At 36.5% G+C, this 22617-nt stretch overlaps 2 long non-coding RNA genes across 4 annotated transcripts in view; one reads left to right on the forward strand and one right to left on the reverse strand.

The window, feature by feature from the left end:
• The window catches only part of LINC02941 (long intergenic non-protein coding RNA 2941), a 117403-nt gene that overhangs the window by 41116 nt on the left and 53670 nt on the right, over positions 1-22617 (forward strand). The window lies entirely within an intron of this gene.
• Positions 18835-22617, reverse strand: part of LOC107986652 (uncharacterized) — a 56727-nt gene continuing 52944 nt past the window's right edge. For both annotated transcript variants that reach the window (XR_001744384.2, XR_001744383.2), the window contains one exon: positions 18835-19190. This is a non-coding gene — a long non-coding RNA (uncharacterized LOC107986652). The remainder of the gene's footprint in view (positions 19191-22617) is intronic.

Here is a 22617-nt window from a genome sequence, read left to right on the forward strand (position 1 = left end):
TCAATCAAAGATTGCCTTCAATCCCAGAACTTTGATTAGAGGAACATTGATCAATTTCCTTGATATTAGGGCTATTGGGTTGCCATTTTTCTAACATCTGTTTCTTTTGTATTAGGTGAAATCTTCTGTTGCCATTTATAGTAGACTTTTAATGGTTTATGCACCATCGTAGGTGTTTCAACAGATGCATAGAAGAATAAATCATAATGATTTCCTTTTAGAGTGTACAGAGTAGTACCCAGAGTAAATATTTAGAGTGGAATGTAATAAATGTTGCAATAAAGATAAGAACAAAGTCAAAGGGGATGTGGTAGAAAAATGGACTAATTACTTATGAGAAAATATATAATGGAGGACATCCTAAGATGACCCTCAAATAGAGAGTGTTCTATGTTATTAGAGTATCCTAAAGCTCTCATTTTTTTAAAATTCAAGTTTTTAATATTTAAATACAGGATTGTTTGAAACAATAATCATTAACTTGAAATGTCCTCCTTAAATACTGGCAGTAGAAAGACTGTTAGAAGTTTTTCTTTATTCAAGTCTTGAAATAAGGCAATGGCAACTGGCAGAGAGTCAAGAAAAGGAATTAAAAAGACTCTTAGAAGGTGCAATACATAAGAATAGAACATTGACTTTGAGAAGAGAGGAAAGAGAGAGAGATGGATGAGTAAACTGTGAATCTGAGGTTTTGAGCTTGGAAAATTAAGTGAATGGTGTTGCAGCTAAACAAGATAGAACAGCCAGGCAGGTAACTGCCATGTGGAAAAATGCCGTGAGCTTAATTTGGACAAGAGCTAAGTTTCAAATGCTTGTGACTCCTCCAGGTAGGGTTGTACAGACATGAAACTTGCACTGCTAAATCTTCTTAGGAATTAATTGGTCTAGCAGGGAATTCAGAAAATTGCAATAATGATAACAGTTGAGGAAATGACAACAATAAATATTCCCTTTCCATAGTAGTGGGAATGCAGGTTATTATTTTAGGAATTTCTCACATAGCTTGGCGGGTTCTGGTACATGCACCAGAAGATATCCATTATTTTGGACAGCCTCATGCTCCTTCATTCTCATCCTTTGCAAGCCCTTTTAGCACAAGAAGATTTAAACTTTAGTAGCAATAATACAAGTATAGAAAAGATTATGTCTACAGATGGCCTATGAAAGCTGAAACTGTCTGTTAAAAATCACCATTTTTTCCCTATATATGTCTTCTCATTCATTTTAGCTGGCATGGTAGAGAATGTTTTCTTTTTGCACATTGGGATAATTAGAGACATGATTCATTTATTACCTAATATGTGCTAGGCTCTCCACAGACATTATCTCCAATTCTGCCAGCCCTGCTGCTGTTTTGCTGATAAGGAAATGGAAGCTGAGTTCAGTTAATTGATGTGTCCGTGGCCTCAGTTGACTTCTTTCTTCCATTCTTCTCAAACATTAGAGCTAGAATCATATCTTAGCAACAGGTGGTCCCAGCAGTTGGCAGAGGACACAGGCAGAACCCAGACCATTCCTCCTTTCTGCTATGGAACCTGGCCTCCATGCAACACAATGCTTAGCACTTGTGTTCTTCATATCAGGTCTTATATTTTATACTCAGCTTCTACACTCTCTGACTTTTTCCACTTGTGTTTCAGGTTCTCACTTTCTCTGATAAGTAAGTTCAACCAGAAAATGTGAAAGCATTAATAAATGAGAGAAAAATAAACAAAGTACCTGATTGCCTTTCTCTTGACATCATACTTCTTTCTTTTCCTCCTCCTCTTTTGGAATAAAGTTGGGACAATAAAACTACACCCATTCTCTCTGTCTCTGTGTCTCTGCCTCTCTCCTCTCTCTCTCTTTGTCTCATAGTATCTTTCTCACTAGAAATAACCCCTTGCATACACACAGATATATGTACTACTTTTTCATCAAACTCTTCTCATTCCCCTTTCAGGTTTGAAATTTTCCCTTATTCCTTCTTGTATTAGTCCATTCTCATACTGCTATAAAGAACTACCTGAGACTGGGCAATTTATGAAGAAAAAGGTTTAATGGATTCATGGTTCCACAGGCTGTACAGGAAGCATGGCTAGAAGGCCTTAGGAAACTTAAACATGGCAGAAGGTGAAGGGAAAACAAGCACGTCTTACCATGGTGGAGCAGGAGAGAGAGTGAGAACACTTTCAAACAACCAGATCTCATGAGAACTCACTCACTATCATGAGACCAGCAAGGGGGAAATCCGCCCCCATAATCTAATCAATTCCCATCAGGACCCTCCCCCAACATTGAGGAATACAATTCAACATGAGATTTGGGTGGGGACAAAGAGCCAAACCATATCATTCCACCCTTGGCTTCTGCCAAATCTCATGTCTTCCTCACACTGCACAACACAATCATGTCTTCCCAACAGTCACCAAGTTTTAGCTCATTTCATCATTAACTCAAAAGTCCAAGTCCAAAGTCTCATCTGAGACAAGGCAAGTCCCTTCCACCTATGAACATGTAAAATAAAAAACAAAGTTGGTTACCTGCAAGATACTATGGGGGTGCAGGCACTGGGTAAATGCTCCTATTCCAAAAGGGAGGAATTGGCCAAGACAAAGGGGGTAAAGGCCCCCTGCAAGTCCAAAATCCAGCAGGGCAGTCATTAAATCTTAAAGCTCCAAAATAATATTTGACTCCATGTCTAACATCCAAGCCACACTGATACAAGTGGTGGGCTCCCAAGGCCTTGGTCAGCTCTGCCCCTGTGGCTCTGCAGGGTATAGCCCCGGGGCTGCTTTCATAGGCTGTTGAGTTCCTGTGGCTTTTCCAGGAGCATAGTGCAAGCTGTCAGTGGATCAACCATTCTGGCATCTGGAGGACAGTGGCTCTCTTCTCACAGTTCCACTAGGCAGGGCCCCAGTGGGGACTCTGTGTTGGGACTCCAACCCCACATTTTCTCTCCACATTGCCCTAGTAGAGGTTCTCCATGAGGGCTCCACCCGTGCAGCAGACTTCTGCTTGGACATACAGGCATTTCCATACATCTTCTGAAATCTAGGCAGAGGCTCCCAAATCTCAACTCTTGCCTTTTGCATACCTGCAGACCCAATATCACATGGAAGCCACCAAGGGTTGGGGCTTGCACCCTCTGACATTATGGTTTAAGGTGTATCTTGGCCTCCTTTAGCCACAGCTGTAGCTGCGTGGATGCAGTGCACCATGTCCCAAGATTGCACAAAACAGTGGGACCCTGGGCCTGGCCTATGAAACCATTTTCCCCTCCTAGACCTCCAGGGCTGTGATGGGAGGGGTTGCCATGAAGGTCTCTGAAATGCCCTGGAGGTATTTTCCCCATTGTCTTGGCTATTAATACTCACCTCTTTTTTTTTACTATGCAGATTTCTGCAGCTTTGAATTCCTCCCCAGAAAATGGGTTTTTCTTTTTTACCATATGGTTGGGCTGCAAATTTTCCAAACTTTCATACTTTGCTTCCCATTTAAATATAAGTTTTAGTTTCAAGTCATTTCTTTGTTTATTCAAATGACTATAGGCTTTCAGAAGCAGCCAGGCCACATCTTGAACACTTTGCTGCTTAGAATTTTCTTCCACCAGATACCCTAAATCATCCCTCCCAAGTTCAAAGTTCCACAGATCTCTAGAGCAGGGACACAATGCTGCCAGTCTCTTTGCTAAAGCACAGCAACAATGACCTTTATTTCAGTTCCCAATAAGTTGCTAATCTCTATCTGAGAACATCTCAGCCTGGGCTTCACTGTCCATATCACTAACAGTATTTTGGTCACAACTACTCAACAAATGTCTAGGAAGTTCCAAACTTTCCCTCATCTTCCTTTCTTCTTCTGTTCCCTCCAAACTGCTCCAACCTCTTCCCATTACTCAGTTCCAATGTTCCTTCTACATTTCCAGGTATCTTTATAGCAATGCTCCACTTCTCTCATACCAATTTTCTATATTAGTCTGTTCTTATACTGCTATAAATAACTACCCAAGACTGGGTAATTTATGAAGAAAAGAGGTTTAATTGACTCACAGTTCCACAGGCTGTACAGGAGGTGTGGCTGGGAAGCCTCAGGAAACTTACAATCATGGCAGAAGGCAAAGAGGAAGCAAGCATATCTTACCATGGTGAAGCAGGAGTGAGACAGCAAAGGGAGAAGTGCTACACAATTTCAAACAACCACATCTTATGAGAACTCACTCACTATTTCAAGAACAGCAGGGGGAAAATCCACCCCATGATCCAAACACCTCTCACCAGGTCCCTCCTCCAACATTGAGAATTACAATTCAACATGAGATTTGGGCAGGGGACACAAAATCAAACCATATCACTCCCATTGATGAACTCAGTGGTTGCTTACAAAGTATCCAATAAAGTTACTACAATATGTTTGATGTGCTTTATGTTTTATATTGAGCTGTGACATACATTTATCACATATAATTTTCAAAACAACAACTCCTCATTTACATGAATAACTCACACTTAAGGGAGCCACATTTTTTTTTCCTTTTTTGGTCATTCACAAAAAATTGAAGAACCAGAATTGAAACTCAAGTTTTTATCTGCCTTCAGAGCCTCTGCAGTTTTCATTACATTATCTTATCTTAAAAAATTATTCTATCTGATAGTCTCAAAAGTTTTTAGAAGTACTGGAAGAAAGATAATGATAATGACAATCTGTTAAACTTCTTTGTGTTAGGAAGTAGAAATATATTAGCATTCAAATATTGTCAACAGGGACAACACTGGACAATCAGTAATTGTATTCATCTAAAGAATCACTAGGCATTATGGGAATTCTGCCAATCTGTCACTAGATCTTAATTTTTAGAATTAAAAATGTTAAGATGAGACCAAAAATATTAGTTACTGTGCATATGTATGTCAATTATATAATATATATATATGTATGCCATCATATAGAGTAGGGTGATATTTTGATATTAATCAAGTTGTTTAGGAAATCCCACACTTTATTGCCACAGATTGTCTTCATTCTCATTAGTTCAAAAGCATTAGTGTTCCAATGGAGAAAGGGTCCAGCCAAGATGCTATACACTTGGCTTTTAAAGACAGAAAGATTGGGGAAGAAAATGTGGTTCCTCAGACCAGGTAAAGAGATTTTGGAGGTTAATCCAGGATTAGAGACAGGATCATCTGTATTTAGATTAGAATGCACTCCGCTCCCAGGCATTTCAACTCCTGGGATTTGGAGTATTGAGAATAGAGTGAGTCTTTGTTTCATTCCTTGACTGATGTTTGGGAAGACAGAAAGCATTATAGAAAGTTATTTCACACTATTACGACATGGTAAATAGTAGGGTAGAAATTGCAGAGGCATGTCCATCTGGAACTCTGTGTGGAGCAAGATTTTAAATGCACCGCACACAGCAGAAGAGTAGAGTTAGTAAACAGAATATTGCATAGGGTGTCAGGGCTAAGAGGTCAGGTTCCCTAGAAGCCAAGTCTGAAATAAGAATTTGGGTGCATATGCTTTATTGAAGAATGTTCATCAGGAAAAACCTACAAGAGCATTATGGATTAAAGGGTTGCTCTCCAAAGATGGCAGTATGAAGCACGGGACTGAAGGCCTGTGAGAGAACAGGAATTTCAGCAAATGGAAATATGGAAGGCAGCTGACAGTGATTTTAATGGAATACCGATACATTTCAATGAATTCCAGTACAGTATTGCTACAGACGGTCTGTCACCCAAATCCCCTCCAAATTGTTGGGATGCTACTAGAGGAAGAATAATCTAACCTGGAAGAAAGTAAGAGGTTCAAAAGAAGGAAAATACTAAATTGACTTGCTTTATTAGAGACAGCTTTATTGAAATAAAATTTACATGCCAAAAAATGCCTGTGTAAGTGTACAATTCAATGACATTTAGTAAATTATTGAGGTGTGAAACCATGCCCACAATCTAGTTTTAGAACATTTTCTTCATCCCCAAAAGTTATTTTGTACCTCACTGTAGTCAATTCCCATTCTAAACTTCTTCTCCAGGCAATCACTAAGCTGTTTACCTATAGATTCTCTTTTCTTAAAAAAAAAGAAAATTTATTTAAGTGGAATGATACAGTATGTAGTCTTTTGCATCTGGATTTTTTCCATTAGCATAATTTCTTAGTTCCATTCATATTGTAAATGTACTAGTAATTCATTTTTATTGCTGAATAGTATTCATTATATAGATAATAATGCATTTCATTTATCTATTAACCAGATGATGGACATTTGGATTGTTTCTAGTTTCTGTGTATTAAGAATAGCATTGCTAAGAACATGCATATACAATTACTAACATGGACATACGTTTTCATTTCTCTTGGATAGATACCTAGGAGTGGAATTGCTGATTGAAATAGTATGTTTATACTTGACTTTCTCAGAAATTGCTGGACTGTTTTTCCAATTGTCTGTGCTATTATATGTTCTACCTGCAATGTGTGAGGCTTCTAGTTTCTCCATATCTTTGTTAACACTTGATATTGACAGTAACTTTGATACATTAATTATAGCTATTCTAGTAGGTATATAGTGATATCTCATTATGGTTTTAATTTGCATTCTCATAATGGCTTACAGTGTTGACTATCTTTATGTGTGCTTACTAGCTATCCTTTGAATATGCTGTTGGGTCCGGTTTGCTAACATTTTCTCATGGTATTCCTCTGCATCTATGTTCTTGAAAGATATTTATCTGCTGCTTTCTTGTGATTTTTTTTTCTGGCTTCACTATCAGATATTTCTGGCTTAAAAAATGAGTTGTGACGTGTTCATCCCTCCATATTTTTGAAAAGTGTTTGTGTAGCATTGATAATATACTCTCTTTAAGTATTTGATGGAATTCATGGTCGAAATCACCTGGGTCTTGGCTTTTCTTTGTGGAAAAACTTTTAATTACCAATTCTATTTCTTATTTGTTATGGGTACATGTATATTATCTGTTTCTTCTTTAGTCAGTTTTGGGGTTAATGTCTTTCTATGGCATTGTTCATTTTATCAAAGTTGTTTAATCTGTTGGTATTGAGTTGTTCATAATAGTCCCTTATATTTCAATTTCTGTAAAGTCAGTATCAGTGTCCCTTCTTTTATTCCCAATTTTGATGATTTGTGGTTTATCTTTCTGTCTCTCTCTCGGCCAGTCTAGCTAAAGATTTTACAATATTATGATCTTTTAAGAGAACCAACTTTTGATTTCATCGGTTTTCTCTATTGTTTTTCTCTATTTTGTTGCTTTCTGCTCTGCTTTTTATTATTCTCTCCCTTCTGCTTATTTTTGTATTTAATTTGTTCTTCTTTTTCTAGTTTCTCAAAGAGGAAGTATAAATGATTGAGTTATAATTTCTTCTTTTCTAAAATAGGTAATTAAAGCTATACATTTCTCTCTGAGCATTGATTTACCTCCATCTTGTTACTTTTGATATGTTGTAATATGTTGTTTTTTCTTCATTCAGTTCAAATTATTTTCTAATTTCCCTTGTGATTTCTTCTTTTAACTCTCTGTTAATTTCCAAATATTTGGGGATTTTTCTATGTAATTTTTGTTGTCGCTTCCTAATTGTATTCCATTTTTATAGTAACTCATACATTAAATGATTTGTAATACTTTTAAATATATTAAGACTTGTTTTATGTCCTATAGTATTTGGTCTACCCTGGAGAATGTTCTATGTGTATTTAAAAGAAAGATTATTTTGCTGTTTTTGGGTGGAGTGTTTTGTAAATATCAGTTAAGTCAAGTTGACTGATATTATTCAAGTCTTCATCCATGATGATTTTCCAAGTTGTTGTTATACCGATTATTGAGAAGGAGATATTGATGTCTCTAACAGCAATTGTTGAAATATCTATTTGTCTTTAGGGTTTTGTTTTGCTACATGTATTATGGTGCTCCTTTTAAGGTGCATATACATTTATAAGTATTGCACAATAAATCTTCACTTAAAGTTGTCCATATGTTCTTGGAAATTGTAATTTTAAATGAAATTATGTACAGCAGGTCCTCCAAATTATGTTGTTTTATTCAACATTGTTTCTTTGTAACATTGATAAAAAAAACTGGTTTGTTACATGTCATTTTGCTCAAAGTCATAGTTTCCAAAAACCTGTCAATGATGTTGAGGACTTACTGTATGTACCTGATATATTGACCCTTTTGTTATTATGAAATGTTCCTTTTTATTTCTGCAGATTGATTATTCCTTATTTGAAATGCACGGCACCAGAAGTTGTTTCAGATTTCAGATTTTTCAGATTTGGAATAATTGCATGTATAATGAGATATCTTGAGGATGTGACCCAAATCTCAACACAAAATTCATTTAAATTTATTTGTGTTTCATATATACCTTATACACATAGCCTGAAGGTAACTTCATGTAATTTTAAGATAATTTTGTACAAAAAGGTTATGTTAAGTACTCACGTGTAAAATTTTCCACTTGTGGCATCATGTTGGCACTCAAAATGTTTTAAATTTTAGAGCATTTCAAATTTTATATTTTCAGATTGGGGTGATAAACCTGTAGTAATATTTCTTCTCTCAAACATATATTTTTGCCATTCCAGCTCGTTAATAAGTATACTTAAATTGTAAAGTTTACATAGTATATATTTTGCTATTCTTTTACATTCAATCTGTCTGTATCTTCGAATCTGAACTGTTTCTCTTGTAAATGGGACATATGTGGATAATGCTTTTTTGATCCAATCTGATAATCTCTACCTTTGGATTAGAGTGTTTAGACCATTAATATTTAATATATTTACTCACCTGTTTGGAGTTTTGTCTATCTCTTGTTTGTTTTCTTTGTCTCTTGTCATTTTTGTTTCTCTGTTCCACCTTTTGTGTTGACAAATATTCTTAGCATCCTATTTTAATTTTTCTTTTGATTTTTAAAATATATTTTTGAGTTATTTTTTGGTAATTGCCCTAGAGATTACAATATGAATTTTAACTTATCATGTTCTACCCAAGTGGCTTAATTTCAATTAAATATAACAACTTAATTCCATTACATATAGCACATTTCCTCTAATATTGCTCTATTCACCATCTATTTTCAGATATATGTAAGTATGTTATAAACCCCAAATAGAGTGTTAACTATTATAATTATTGCTTTATAAAATATTATGTCTTTAAAGAAAATTGAAGAAGAAAAGAGAAAATATTTTATGCACTCTTTTATATTTCCTCACATTTTTACCATTTCTGGCCTTCATTTCTCCCTATGGAATCTAGTTACCATCTGGTGTCATTTCTTTTCAGCCAGAGATACTTCTATTAGCATCTTGTAAGACAGGTCTCACAGCATTTATTTCTCTCAGCCTTTGTTTAAGTGAGAATGTTATTTTTTTGCCTTCCTTTTGAAGTTGCTGGATATTCTTTGTTGACAGTAATTTTCTTTCAGTATGTAGAATATTTCATTCTACCACTTTCTGGCTTCTGTTGTTTCTGTTGAGCAGTTATCCTTTTTTTGTTGTTTTTGCCAACTGGAAATTTAATATGAGAAAGTATTATTTAAAAAATATTCTACATGCAGTCTTAGTAGCGTTATCCAAAAATATTATCATTAAATAAGTAATATTATGACACTGGAAGTAACCCTCAATGCATGTTATGTAGACACCAAATTATTCAAGGACAATTTTTTATAACAGCAATTATTTTGTACAGTGTGTTTGCATATGATTTTTTTTAACTTTTATTTTATGTCTGGGGACACGTGAAGGTTTGCTATGTAGGTAAAGTCGTGGTATGGGGGTTTGTTGTACAAATTATTTAATCAGCTAGGTATTAATCAAGTACCCAATAGTTATTTTTTCTGCTCCTCTCTCTCCTCCCACCTTCCGACCTCAATTACAACCCAGTGTCTGTTGTTCCTCTTTTTGTGTTCATGAGTTCTTATCATTTAGCACTCACTTATAAGTGAGAACATGTACTATTTGGTTTCCTCTTCCTGTGTTAGTTTGCTAAAGATAGTAGCCACCAGCTCCATCCATGTTCCCATAAAAGACATGATATTGTTCTTTGTTAATGGCTGCATAGTATTCCATGGTATGTATGTAGCATATTTTCTTTATCCAATTTGTCATTGATGGGCATTTAGGTTGATTCCATGTCTTTCCTACTGTGAATAGCGCTGCAATGAACATTTGTGCACATATGTCCTTATGGTAGAATGAGTTATACTCCTTTGGCTATAATGGGATTGTTGGGTGGAATAGATAGTTCAGCTTTCAACTCTTTGAGGAATTGCCACACTGCTTTCCACAATGGTTGCACTAATTTACACTCCCACCAACAGTATATACATGTTCCCTTTTCTTTGCAACCTCTCCAGCATCTGTTATTTTTTGACTTTTTAATAATAGCCATTCTGACTGGTGTGAGATGGTATCTCATTTTGGTTTCGATTTGCATTTCTCTAATGATCAGTGATATTAAGCTTTTTTTTAATATGCTTGTTGGTCACATGCATGTCTTCTTTTGAAAAGTGTCTGTTCATGTTCTTTGCCCACTTTTTGATGAGGTTGTTTGTTTTTCTCTTGTAAATTTGTTTAAGTTTCTTATAGATGCTGGATATTAGACATTTGTCAGATGCATAGTTTGCAAATAATTTCTCTCATTCTGTAGGTTGTCTATTTACTCTGTTGAGAATTTCTTTTGTGGTACAGAAACTCTTAAGTTTAATTAGATCCCACTGGTCAATTTTTGTTGTGATTGCTTTTGGTGTCTTTGTCATGAAATCTTTGCCCATTCCTATGTCCAGGATGATATTGCCTAGGTTGTCTTGCAGGATGTTTATAATTTGGGGTTTTACATTTAAATCTTTAATTCATCTTGAGTTAATTTTTGTATACGGTGTAAGAAAGAGTTCCAAATTCAATCTTCTGCATATGGCTAGTCAGTTATCACAGCACCATTTATTGAATAGGGAGTTTGTATCCCATTGCTTGTTTTTGTCAGCTTTGTTGAAGATTAGATGGTTGTAGGTGTGCGGCCTTATGTATGGGCTCTCTATTCTGTTCCACTGGTCTATGTGCCTGTTTTTGTACCAGTACCATGCTGTTTTTGTTACTGTAGCCCCATAGTATAGTTTGAAGTCAGGTAATAGGATGCCTCCAGCTTTGTTCCTTTTGCTTAAGATTACCTTAGGTATTTGGGCTCTATTTTCCTTCCATATGAATTTTAAAATAGTTTTTCTAGTTCTGTGAATAATGTTGTTGGTTGTTTGATTGGAATAGCATTGAATGTGTAAATCACTTTGGGCAGTATAGCCATTTTAATGACATTGATTCCTCCTATTTGTGAGCATGGGATGTTTTCTATTCATTTGTGTCTTCTCTGATTTCTTTGAGCACTGCTTTGTAATTCTCATTGTGGAGCTCTTTCACCTTCCTGATTAGCTGTTTTCCTAGGTATTTTATTCTTTTTATAGCAATTGTGAATGGGATTGCCTTTCTGATTTCACTCTTGGCTTGGCTGTTGGTGGTGTATAGGAATGCTAGTGATTTTTGTGCATTGATTTTGTATCCTGAAACTTTGCTGAAGTTGGTTCCCAACTGAAGCAGCTTTTGGGCTGAGACTATGGGCTTTTCTAGATATGGAATCATGCCATGTGCAAACAAGGATAGTTTGACTTCCTTTCTTCCTATTTGGATGCCCTTTATTTCTTTTTCTTGCTTGATGAGCAGTTATCTATTAATCATGTATTGTTTCCTGTGTGTGATAAGTTGTTTTTTTCCTGCTGCTTTTAATATTTTATTTCCTTCTTTGGGTTTGAACAGTTTGAATATCATGATATGTCTAGGTGTGGATCTCTTTGTGCTTTTTAAAATTGGGCATCATTGAGCTTCTTGAATCTATGTATTAACATTTTTAAATAAAATTTAGGAAGTCCCTGTTCATTATTTCTTCAAGTATTTTCCCTACCCTTTTTCTCTCTCTGCTATCCTTCTGGGAATTCTACTACAAATATTTGGTATGCTGAGTGTTGTCCCTCAGGTCTCTGAGGCTCTGTTAAATTTTCTTCAATCTTTTCTTTCTGTGTTCTTCAGGGTGGATAATTCCTAGTCATCCATAATCAAGTTTACTGATTTTTTCTTATTTTATGTCAACTCTGTTTCTTTTAAAAATAATTTTGATTTTTTATTGAAATTTATTATTGCAGAATTATTGTCATTATATCTTCCTTTAAATCTTTAAACAGGGCTTCCTTTAATCCTCTGAATATATTTATAATAGGTGTTTTGACAACTCTGCCAAATCCAACATCTGGGTTCACTCAGAGTTCATTTCTTTCAACTACGTTTTTTCCCCTGCATATGGGTCACATTTTCTTGTTTCTTTGCATGTCTCATTTTTCTTTGTTTAAAATTAGACATTTTGGGTAATACATTTAAGAAATTTTGGATTCTGTTTTTCCGTTTGAGAATTGTTATTGCTTTTTGTTTGTTTCGATTTTCTGAACTTAAAAGGGCTTTTAGCATTTACTGATGGATCTTTGTGTAGCTTGCTGAGTGTATTCAAAACTTATACATTTTTCTAGTTTATTCTTGCTTTTCTTTTCACTAGGCCCTCCCAAATCTTTCACGCATAGATGCACAACCTTTCTTTCAATGAAGGATGTATGAAGAGCTTAAGCTTTCTCGGGTCTTTCCTGTGTGTCCACACAGACTCCAAATCAGCCAAGAATGTGTGGTGAGATTGGTTTTTTGGGGGGTTTCTTCACATTTATGTGTCACCCTAGCTAGAGTTGTATGCAGAAATTACCTTGTCCATGTATGGTTCTCTTATTTCCAAGATCTCCTTGTTAAATTCCAGGCTACTCTTTGGTTCTGCCATCTTCCATTAAGAGCAATCACAACTCAGAATAGCAGGGCTGTGTGCTTTTCTTGTTCATTTTCTACCAATTTTACCATTTTTACTAACAGTCCAGCTAGAAATGGATTTTTTTGGCCTCAGTTCAAAAATAACCCAGCCCCATCCAGCAGTGAAGTTGCTGGTTTTGATAACCAACTCTGCCTTGGTATCACCATCCTACCACATGAGCTGTCAAAATGGGATAGTACCAACAGATTCCCACTCTTCTTAGCTAATGGTCTACAGTTTTCCATAATTAAATACTTCTTAATTTGTTTTTAATCTTGCTTGATGTTCTGAGCTCTTAGATGATTGTTCTTAAAAATTTTGTTTAGTTTTATAGTATTGTTTTTGAGACAGGATTTGCTGACTTCTTTACCATCGTTAAAAGATCTGCCCATCTGACTTGTTTTTAAAGAGTAATAAACTGCAAAAGCCCCAGCTTAATTTAACTTGAAATTACTAAATTAAGTGTGATTGACTAGAGATGGACATAGATTTTTTTGTACTTCACCCATCAAGAGGTGGCGTCTGCATTCCTCTTCCCTTTCCCTCCTCCTTTGGATTCAGGAGGCTCAGTGAAAACTTTGACTTGCAGAATATAGCAAAATAACTTTTAGCCAATTTCTAGCCCAGGACTTACAAGATTGATTGCTTTTACTCTCTTTTACTTTTTAAATCGAAACATAGCTACTGTGTTGTGAGGTAGAAGCGACTGTGGAAAATCCTTGTGGAAAGGCATGAGACACCTTGTGGTATCTAAGGTACCAAGATACCTGGCCAATAGCCTCAGCTGAGTGCCACCTTGCCAGCCATGTAAGTAAGCCATGTTGGCAGTGCATCTTCCAGACCTAGTTGAGCTACCACAATTAATTCAGTCTGTAGCAGAGATGAGACTTTCCTGCCCAAATTGTAAATCTGTGAGCAAAATAAAAGATGATTGTTATTTTAAATCACTAAGTGTCTGGGTGGTTTGTTACATAGCCATAAATAACTGGAACATTAATTTTCTGCCTTCTTGAGGAATGGGAGTTGGGGATTAAAGCTAAGAACAGTTATTATAAAATCCATTTATCATGTACCTAGCAAGTAAGATTTTCATAGCCACAAAATTGAATTGCAAAAATATAACTTATGAAAAGAAAGTTGTGTACATAAAGCTTGTTATCTTTTGTAGAAGGTGACTATGATATTGAGAAATGCAGGAGTTCATCCAGGGGATTGTGGAGTAAAAGGGGAGGATACAATGAGAGAGGAAGGAAAGGAATACAATCAGGTATTTTTCCCAATTTCGCTTGCCTGGTTTAGCTTAGTGACAGGGGTAGTAGCTATAAGCACAGGGGTGAGAATTCTTGCTCTGACATTGGTTTGATACCCTATGAGGAGGGCCCTGGATGGAACATTTCACACTAGCACTGGGGCTTAACTAGGGGGGTTAAGAGGCAAACAATAATAAAAGGCATAATAAAGGAGAAAAGGAGGCTCTAATTTTCACTTAAATGTCACCTCCTTTTTTTTTTTTTTTTTTTTTGAGACGGAGGTTTGCTCTTGTTGCCCAGGCTGGAGTGCAATGGCGTGATCTTGACTCACTGCAACCTCCACCTCCCGGGTTCAAGTGATTCTCCTGCCTCAGCCTCTGGTGTAGCTGGGACTACAGACATGCACCACCATGCCTGGCTAATTTTGTATTTTTAGTAGAGATGGGGTTTCTCCATGTTGGTCTGGCTGGTCTCGAACTCCTGACTTCAGGTGATCTGCCCGCCTCGGCCTCCCAAACTGCTGGGATTACAGGGGTAAGCCACCAGGTCCGGCTGTCACCTCCTTTTTTTCTGCATGACCTGACCACTCAGATGAGAATGAGTAGTCTCCTCCTAGTCCACAGCAAGACAATACCAGAGGAAAAGTATGAGTGGCCCACCTAGGCCAAAGACGTGATGAAAAATATGGTAAAGTTTCAGCAGGGCTGAAAAAGCCCTGGAGACCATGGTATCCAGAAAGTTGCCTCTGGGCTATGACCAAGTTGAGAGAGAGAGAGACACCATGAGTCGCTCTTGCTCAAGAGGTCACAGGAAAATTCATACATGGGGCCAGTAACATTTCAAAGGTCATAGGTGCTGAATGACAAGCACAGGGAAAAGCCAGGGGATTCCAAGCCCTCCACAGTATGAAGTCCTGTAAGCCACTTGCCCATTATAATAATGATTTGAACCACAATGTAGCTGACAAAATTTAATTGATACCCTCCATTTTAGAAAGGACTCAAAGAGGGAGAGTTTAAAAATAAGATAATTTGGGTAATTAACCCAATAGATCGTGCACAACTTGGGTGTTTAAACTGTTAAATCAAATTAAGTTGACAACTACTTTGGATTTTGGTAACATTCCCATCACATTATCAAGCAGGAGGGAGCTTACATAGAAGACCAGAACACTTAAAGATGAAAATATAGAGAATACATTTTTTTGGCCAGGTGCGGTGGCTCACACCTGTAATCCCAGCACTTTGGGAGGCTGAGGCAGGCGGATCACAAGGTCAGGAGACTGAGACCATCCTGGCTAACATGGTGAAACCGCGTCTCTACTAAAAATACAAAAAAATTAGCCGGGTGTGGTGGCGGGCGACTGTAGTCCCAGCTACTCAGGAGGCTGAGGCAGGAGAATGGCATGAACCCAGGAGGCAGAGCTTGCCGTGAGCCGAGATCGAGCCACTGCACTCCAGCCTGGGCTACAGAGCGAGACTCCATCTCAAAAAAAAAAAGAAAAGAAAAGAAAAAAAGGAAAATACATTTTCATTGCATATCCCAGTTATAATGGGAGCATATTTGAGGCCTTACAACATGTATATGGAAAAATTATCTAGCTGACAATTTAACAGTATTTTATATTCTCCTGGAGGTGTTTCATGAAAAATTAAGTATGGGAAGTATTTTCCTTCACCTATTCTTTCCCCAACCACAGTTACCACTCCATAAAATCAAGCCTCAATAAATTGAAGATGTAGATAACTTATTTTACTTAGGAAAAGATTAATAGGGCTTCATCATACTGAGAGGCAGTAAAATGTAGTAGCTACGAGTATAAGCTCTGAGGCCAGAATGTATCAATTAGAATTCTGGTTCTGTCACTTATTGACTAAATGACAAGTCACTTAACCTCTCTGTGTCTCAGTATTCCTCATCTGCAAGATGGATACAATAAAAGTAGGTCTTAATGTTGTGATTATTAAGTTAAAACATTTGAAGTGCCACATACAGTAAGCACTAATTAAGCTTTGCTGTTACTATTATTTATTGATTGATTTATTTAAAAACCTGGGCTCATTGAAATTGCAGCCTGACTTTTCCAACTCTGAAAGATGATGGAAAGAGTTGAATAAGGAGAACATGACCAACTTGTTCGTCCCTGAGACTGAGCAGAGCAGAGGGTAGGGAACATGCAAGTGGTAGCCTGTTCATTTCTCCTTGGTGCTGCCAGTTTGATGGCAGGACGCTGCTGTGGATGCAGCAATGGCCTGCGGTCAAATGTTTTGGGACCTGGGCAAAGGTTCTAGGGTTGAGATGCCTATGGTGAGAACAGAGAATGTGAGCGGAGGAGCTGCCTGCGCAGCCCTAGATTATAATGGCTTAAATTGGAGAGACTGATGTAGGAGCCTTCCAAACATGAACTGTTTTCCGTTATCCAGGCTGTAGATCTTAGAGCTAGATATAATTTGATTTTATAAACAAGTATGTGTAGTTTTTTAAACCTTAATATCCATGAGAAAATTAATAACCACTGCTTATAATAATGAATTAAACCATAAAGTAGTTGACAAAATTTAATGATGCTTTTAAGAGACCATTGAACTGTGTTCTATATACTCCTATTTTTAGGCAGATCTCTTAAATATTGTTAATCAACGTTTTCTTCAAAATAGTTGAGAATATAGGTTAAAACATACTGTGACTTAATATTCTCTTAAAATCAGTTCAAAAGGAAAAACAAAGAATAAATATTTCCCTCCTTAAGACTGTAAGTGCAGCCCCTGTGCTAAGTCTCTAGAAGATGTCTAAGTCTGAAACCAAAATGACATCTGTGAAGTTGAATAAAAAATCTAACTCAAGAGCTACAGAGAAAATATCATGAGGTAGGAAAAAATTCATGTAAATTTGCAAATTCTTAGTGCTAATAGTCTATACTATTGGAAAAGTTCAATCACATGCACATTATACTGCCCTATGCTTTCATTTCCTGGCTGGGAGTGGAAATTATTCTCATCAAACTAAGTCATATGGGGAACAGAGTTCCAGGGAATACAAGTCCCTATCCTTATAGCAGAAATTTATTCTTAATGTAAGAAAAATATAAGAGAAACAGATTGAGTAAGACATGTTCCCAGAGGACATTGGGAGCACTATGATAACAAGTTAATACTTGCTCTATTAAACTCTAAGAAAATAGTGTACTTCTCTTGAAAGATAGAAGAAAAGCCACTAGTTTCTGGAATAAAAATGGCCATTTTTAAGTTAATGAAAGTATAAACTCAATCATTACATTAGTGATGTTGACAATATCCATTTGCAGTTACATGATAAGTTGGACATCCCAATTATGCACGCACACACATACATACACACCCACCATACACAAGTGAAAGTTCTCAGGAACTTGGTAATACTCATGATATCAGCAGTCATTCACCAGGAGCCTAATGTAAGGACGCTCAAAATGCCCTTATGAGCCCAGTTTGCACAAAGTAATTGAGATATTTTTAAAAGGAAAAATAGAATCCATGTAGGAATGAATGAGGGCTATTAGAGCATGTCTATCAAAGATTAATATTAACTGAAGATCAAGAGGATAAAGTTTAGTGGGGAAATGTAATGTCACAGAACTTCAGACTGGGTTCTACGCTCATGAACATCAAAAAGAGTTTTGTTTGCATTGCATAATTGGACATCTAAGAGCAACGCTCATATAAATGAAAACTTTGAAAGAGTATCTGCATTAAGAAAGATGTCTTTATATCCACTTGGGAGAAATGATCCTCATATAAAGTTATATAAAATTTGGGATGAACTCTCTCATTCTTTTTCATCAAAAAACTAGATGAGAGATAATTATTAATGAATCAAGTTTGGTGAGAGAGATGTCAAATGGTTTTATATAAAATGGTAAACAGGCAAGTTATTGATAATGTCATACTGTATATATCATTCTTTGTATGTACACTTATTCTTGTGGGCCATGAAATTAATATATAGCATCTACAAATTGATATTCTGTTATGCTAATAAATACTCTTATTATAGAGATGTGAAAATAAGTAGAATCCTGTCATTGATACATTTTTATTTGTTTGGTTCAAAAAACACTTTGGCCTATAATGCGGATGCCTCTAACTACCTGTTGAAAGGTATAGTTAGTGCCTAGAAGAAAACAAGTAGCCTGATGTAAACCTAAATATTGAAAATTTCAGGAAATATCATAGCAATAAACACTACTACAAAGAAACATTCAATACAACAATGCCTGTTTTTTTCGTCTTAAAAGTTGATATGAGAACAATGTTTAGTTACCTTGGTTACAGCAAATTCTGCACAATATGCTGTTTGTCTCTGAAGGAAATTTGTGTATGTGTTATTGTGGGAGGTAGTAGCAAAGAGAAATTGATATATTTTTACAGATTTTTCTTCTATTATTAAGTAATTTTTGTGTCAACCTTCTTTCGTCGATTAAATAAAAATATACTTATGCAAACATCACTCTTCTGCCTAAAACTATCCTTAGGCATACCTCTGCATACTTCTCATTTACCCACCAGACACAGAGACTTCTGCCTAAGGAAAGGAAATAAGGAGTTTGATGGTCAGCATAAACTTTAAAAGTGGCAGTATATGATTTTATCACCAGATGTGGAATATGAGAATTACAAAAATTGAGCTAGAGAGTTATTTTCTCCTGATATTTCTTCTTGACCTTGGAAACTGGGAGAAGTGAGTTATTCTTGTAAGACAATGAGGAAATGTAAGTGATGAAATGTAAAAACGAAACAAAACCCCCCCAAAAACCCTCAGAGTCTAGAATTATCTTTCTTCTACCACAGCTACTTCCGTCGGTGAAGGAAAACTTACATTCTGGCTGCATTTGTCAAGGGTGGCTCCATATTGAGGAAGTAGCTAATCAATGCAATGAAAGCATGAGCAGCCAACAGTCTTGTTTCCTTATGCAAGTGATACTCTGGGTTCAATTCTCTTCACTATAGAAGAAAGCAGGAAATCTGGTTCCTTTCTTCTGCTGCTTCTCCTGTCTCCTCATCTTGCAGGTAGCCTGGTGCAGAAAAATAAAGAGCAGGAATAATTAGCTGTCTTATATAGTAACCAGTCTCCCATTTTTTCTTTAATTACAGAATTTTGAATCTTACTGAATTATTATTGCATAATTGGCCACTCTGTAAAAGGACAATGTTCTCCAGCCTCCCTTGCAGCTATATGTGGCTACATAACCAAGTTTTGAACTATGGGATTTGAACAGCTGAGATGAGTGTAACTTCTGGGTCACATAGTTAAAGGAAATAATTGTGCCCTCTCTGGCTGTTTTCCCTCTTTATCCTGATGAGAACAAAGGCATGATGGCAAGATCTGAAACAATGAACTTGGCCCAGCTAATGGAAGCCATGCATTAAAGATGGCAGAGCAGCAAGTTAGAAGAGTCCTGGGTTCCTGGAGGTTGTCAGATCTCCTTCTTTGTCTCAGACTGTAATGTTCAAACTTTTCATGAGGGAGAAATAAACTTCTAACTTACCTAATGCACTGTTACAGTGGGTCTCTCTGTTATAACAGTGGAACTTTGATGTTGCCAAAACTTATAAACAGCAAAATGGGAGCTTCTCAAAATTTAATGGACACAAGAATCACCTAGGGATCATGTTAAAATGCTGATTCTGATTCAGTAGAGGTGATAGATACATTTTATTTATCAGCTTGGCTAAGCTATTGTGCCCAGTGTTTTTGTCAAACATTAGTCTGGATGTTGCTATGAAGGATTGTAGAAGTGACTAATATAATCAGTTGACTTTAAGTAAGGGAGTTTGCCACCAGAGATGTGGATGGACCGTTAATGGACCATGATGCACTGTCAATTGAATGCCTAAAAAGTAAAAAGCAAAGTTTCCCAGAGAAGATAGAGTCCTTTGTTAATACTGCTACATAGAAATCCTGCCTGAGTTTCCAGCCTGCTGGCCTTTTCTGTAAATTTCAGGTTTGCCAGCTCCCACAACTGCATGTGCCTGTTCTTTAAAATAAGTCTCTTCACACACACACACACACACACACACACACACACACACACACACACACACTCTCTCTCTCTCTCTCTCTCTCTCTCTATATATATATATATATATATATATATAAAAATAGATCTATATACATGTATATATACACACATAGGCATATATACATATATTTTATTGATTTTGTTTCTTTGTTTTTATACCTACTGTTTAATACAGTAGGTATAAAGCAAATCCTGAGAGTTTGCATTTCTAGTTAGTTCCCAATGCTGCTGCTCTGAGCACTATGCTTTGCATAGTAAGATTCTAGAAAACTGTTTTTCAGGAATCATATGCTTCAGTCCAGACTTTGACAGAAATTTTCTGTGAAACCTCAGGAATGCCATGCAGTACGTAGCTCTCACTTCCTCATCTATGAGATGAGAATGTTGGATTATATGATCCCTGTGACCCTCTCAGGATCTAATACATGGTAACTTTGTGACCCTCTTGCCAAGAGGTCCAGGTGGGAAGGCAACATGGGGATAGAGCTTGTGGCACGGCAGACCCCAGAGCTGTATCAAAGTGTGTGGTCATCATGCATGGCTTCTTGGTGCTGTGGCACTGATTTCCTGTGTTGTTACACCCGATGGACATTTGTAAGTTGTATGGGCAGCCATTGAGCTGGTGACATCTTACATCCAGCAACTTGATGCATGAGAAAAGAGACTCAATTCTAGCATGTTAGATCTGGAAGAGAAATCTAAGAGCTTGATTTTCTTTCTTCCCCAGGAAACTCATTTCCCAGCGCAAAGGACAGAGCAGGTCCAATGACATGAAACAACCTCTTTGTGTCATTACCTTATATTTTATGCATATGTGTGTTATAATGACTGTAGAATAATCTTACAAATTAGAGAACTATGTCAATGAACTTACTCGTTTACTTCCCAAATCTGGACTAGGATTTGGAAAATTTTAATAATAGCATCACTATTTCATTTATTCTTTAAGAGTAATAACAAAGAGTCTTAAAATTACAATCTGTCAAAGTTGTGCTTCTATTAGAAGCTTTCAGGTGCTGTAAACAGGGCTGTGCTGTAGAATACAGATATTCCTTCTGACAGTATGATCCATACCTATTTGTCAGCTTTACTTTCTAAAATCCTAAATTGAAAAAGGGCTTTGTTATTATCCTTTGGGGCCACAACCAAATGGAGCTGTAATCATTCTTGAATGGTGAGAATCTGTTTTCATCCATACTACAGAACTTTTAGTCTCAAAACAGATATATTCAAATGTACAATATGGTCCAGTAGCCACCAGACAGTCTTTACGTAGGGGTTGCAATTCCTTCACTCTCCTGTTGTCTTAAAGCCCAATCATAACATGGCATGAAAAATGGGCTTACTGCATTGTACAAATGCTAATAGATTGTTTACTGATGGGGTTTTGGGTGGCCTTATATCAATAGAATAGCAAAGGCTACTCTAGGAACATATCTGTTCTGAGAACATATATCTATTCATTCAAAGTAAGATTGTATATGTATATATCCCACATATCTGGGATAAATAGATTTCTTAACTTTTACCTGAAATGCTGCAGGAGGTTTGTGTTCATTTCAGTGTGACTACATGTATGTAAGTGTGCTTTTGCTATGTGTGTGTATGTATGCATGTGTGGTATGTGCACATGGGTTAAGACTGTGAGTGGAAAAAAGAGTCAATTTCTTTTTCTTAGCATGTGAATTTGAATGCAATCAAGAACTTTAATTTATTTTCTTATTTTCTCAGTGTCAAGTACTTTTTCTGTCTCCCTCCCTTAAAAAATTGCCTTAGGAGAGTCTTCTAATAGATGCTACTCTTTTTTTTAATGCCTAAAGGACATGATTGCTTAAACAAAATGAAACAAAAAAAGAGCTAGAAAGCGGCAAAGGGATGGAAGACATTTGACCAGAAATAGGAACCTATTGCTGCCTTGGGTGGAAGTATTCTTTCTCAACATTTGGGGTTAAGGACAGAAAAAGAAATGAGGATATGAGAAAAAAAAATATCTGAGTGGACAAAAACTGACACTTATCTTTATTTAAGCCCATTTATTTCTATTTTAAATTGTCCCTGGAAAGAAAAACAGGATGGAAAGCTTAAAAGGGATAGAACCTGGTATCCGTGTATTCTATCCTTCACCTACCATATTAAAATAGATCCACTTGCTCTAAAGGAGGTTGACATAACCTTTTATGAACTATCAATGCTATATCAAAAATCCTGACATTCTTCATTCTACAGAATACAAACAGCACCTTTCATATTGTGACAGCAAAGCACCGTGGTAGTCTGATTTGTGGTTGTTTGGATGTTTGGTTTTTAAAATTATTTTCATTAATTTTATAAAGTGTTAGGAGTTGAATGACTGTGAAAGAACAAATACATCTAGTTTATCTTTGTTGCATTTCTTCTGGTCTATTTTCATTTGTCGAGG

The sequence above is a fragment of the Homo sapiens genome, chromosome 6, assembly GCF_000001405.40.
Source record: "Homo sapiens chromosome 6, GRCh38.p14 Primary Assembly".
NCBI lineage: Eukaryota > Metazoa > Chordata > Mammalia > Primates > Hominidae > Homo > Homo sapiens.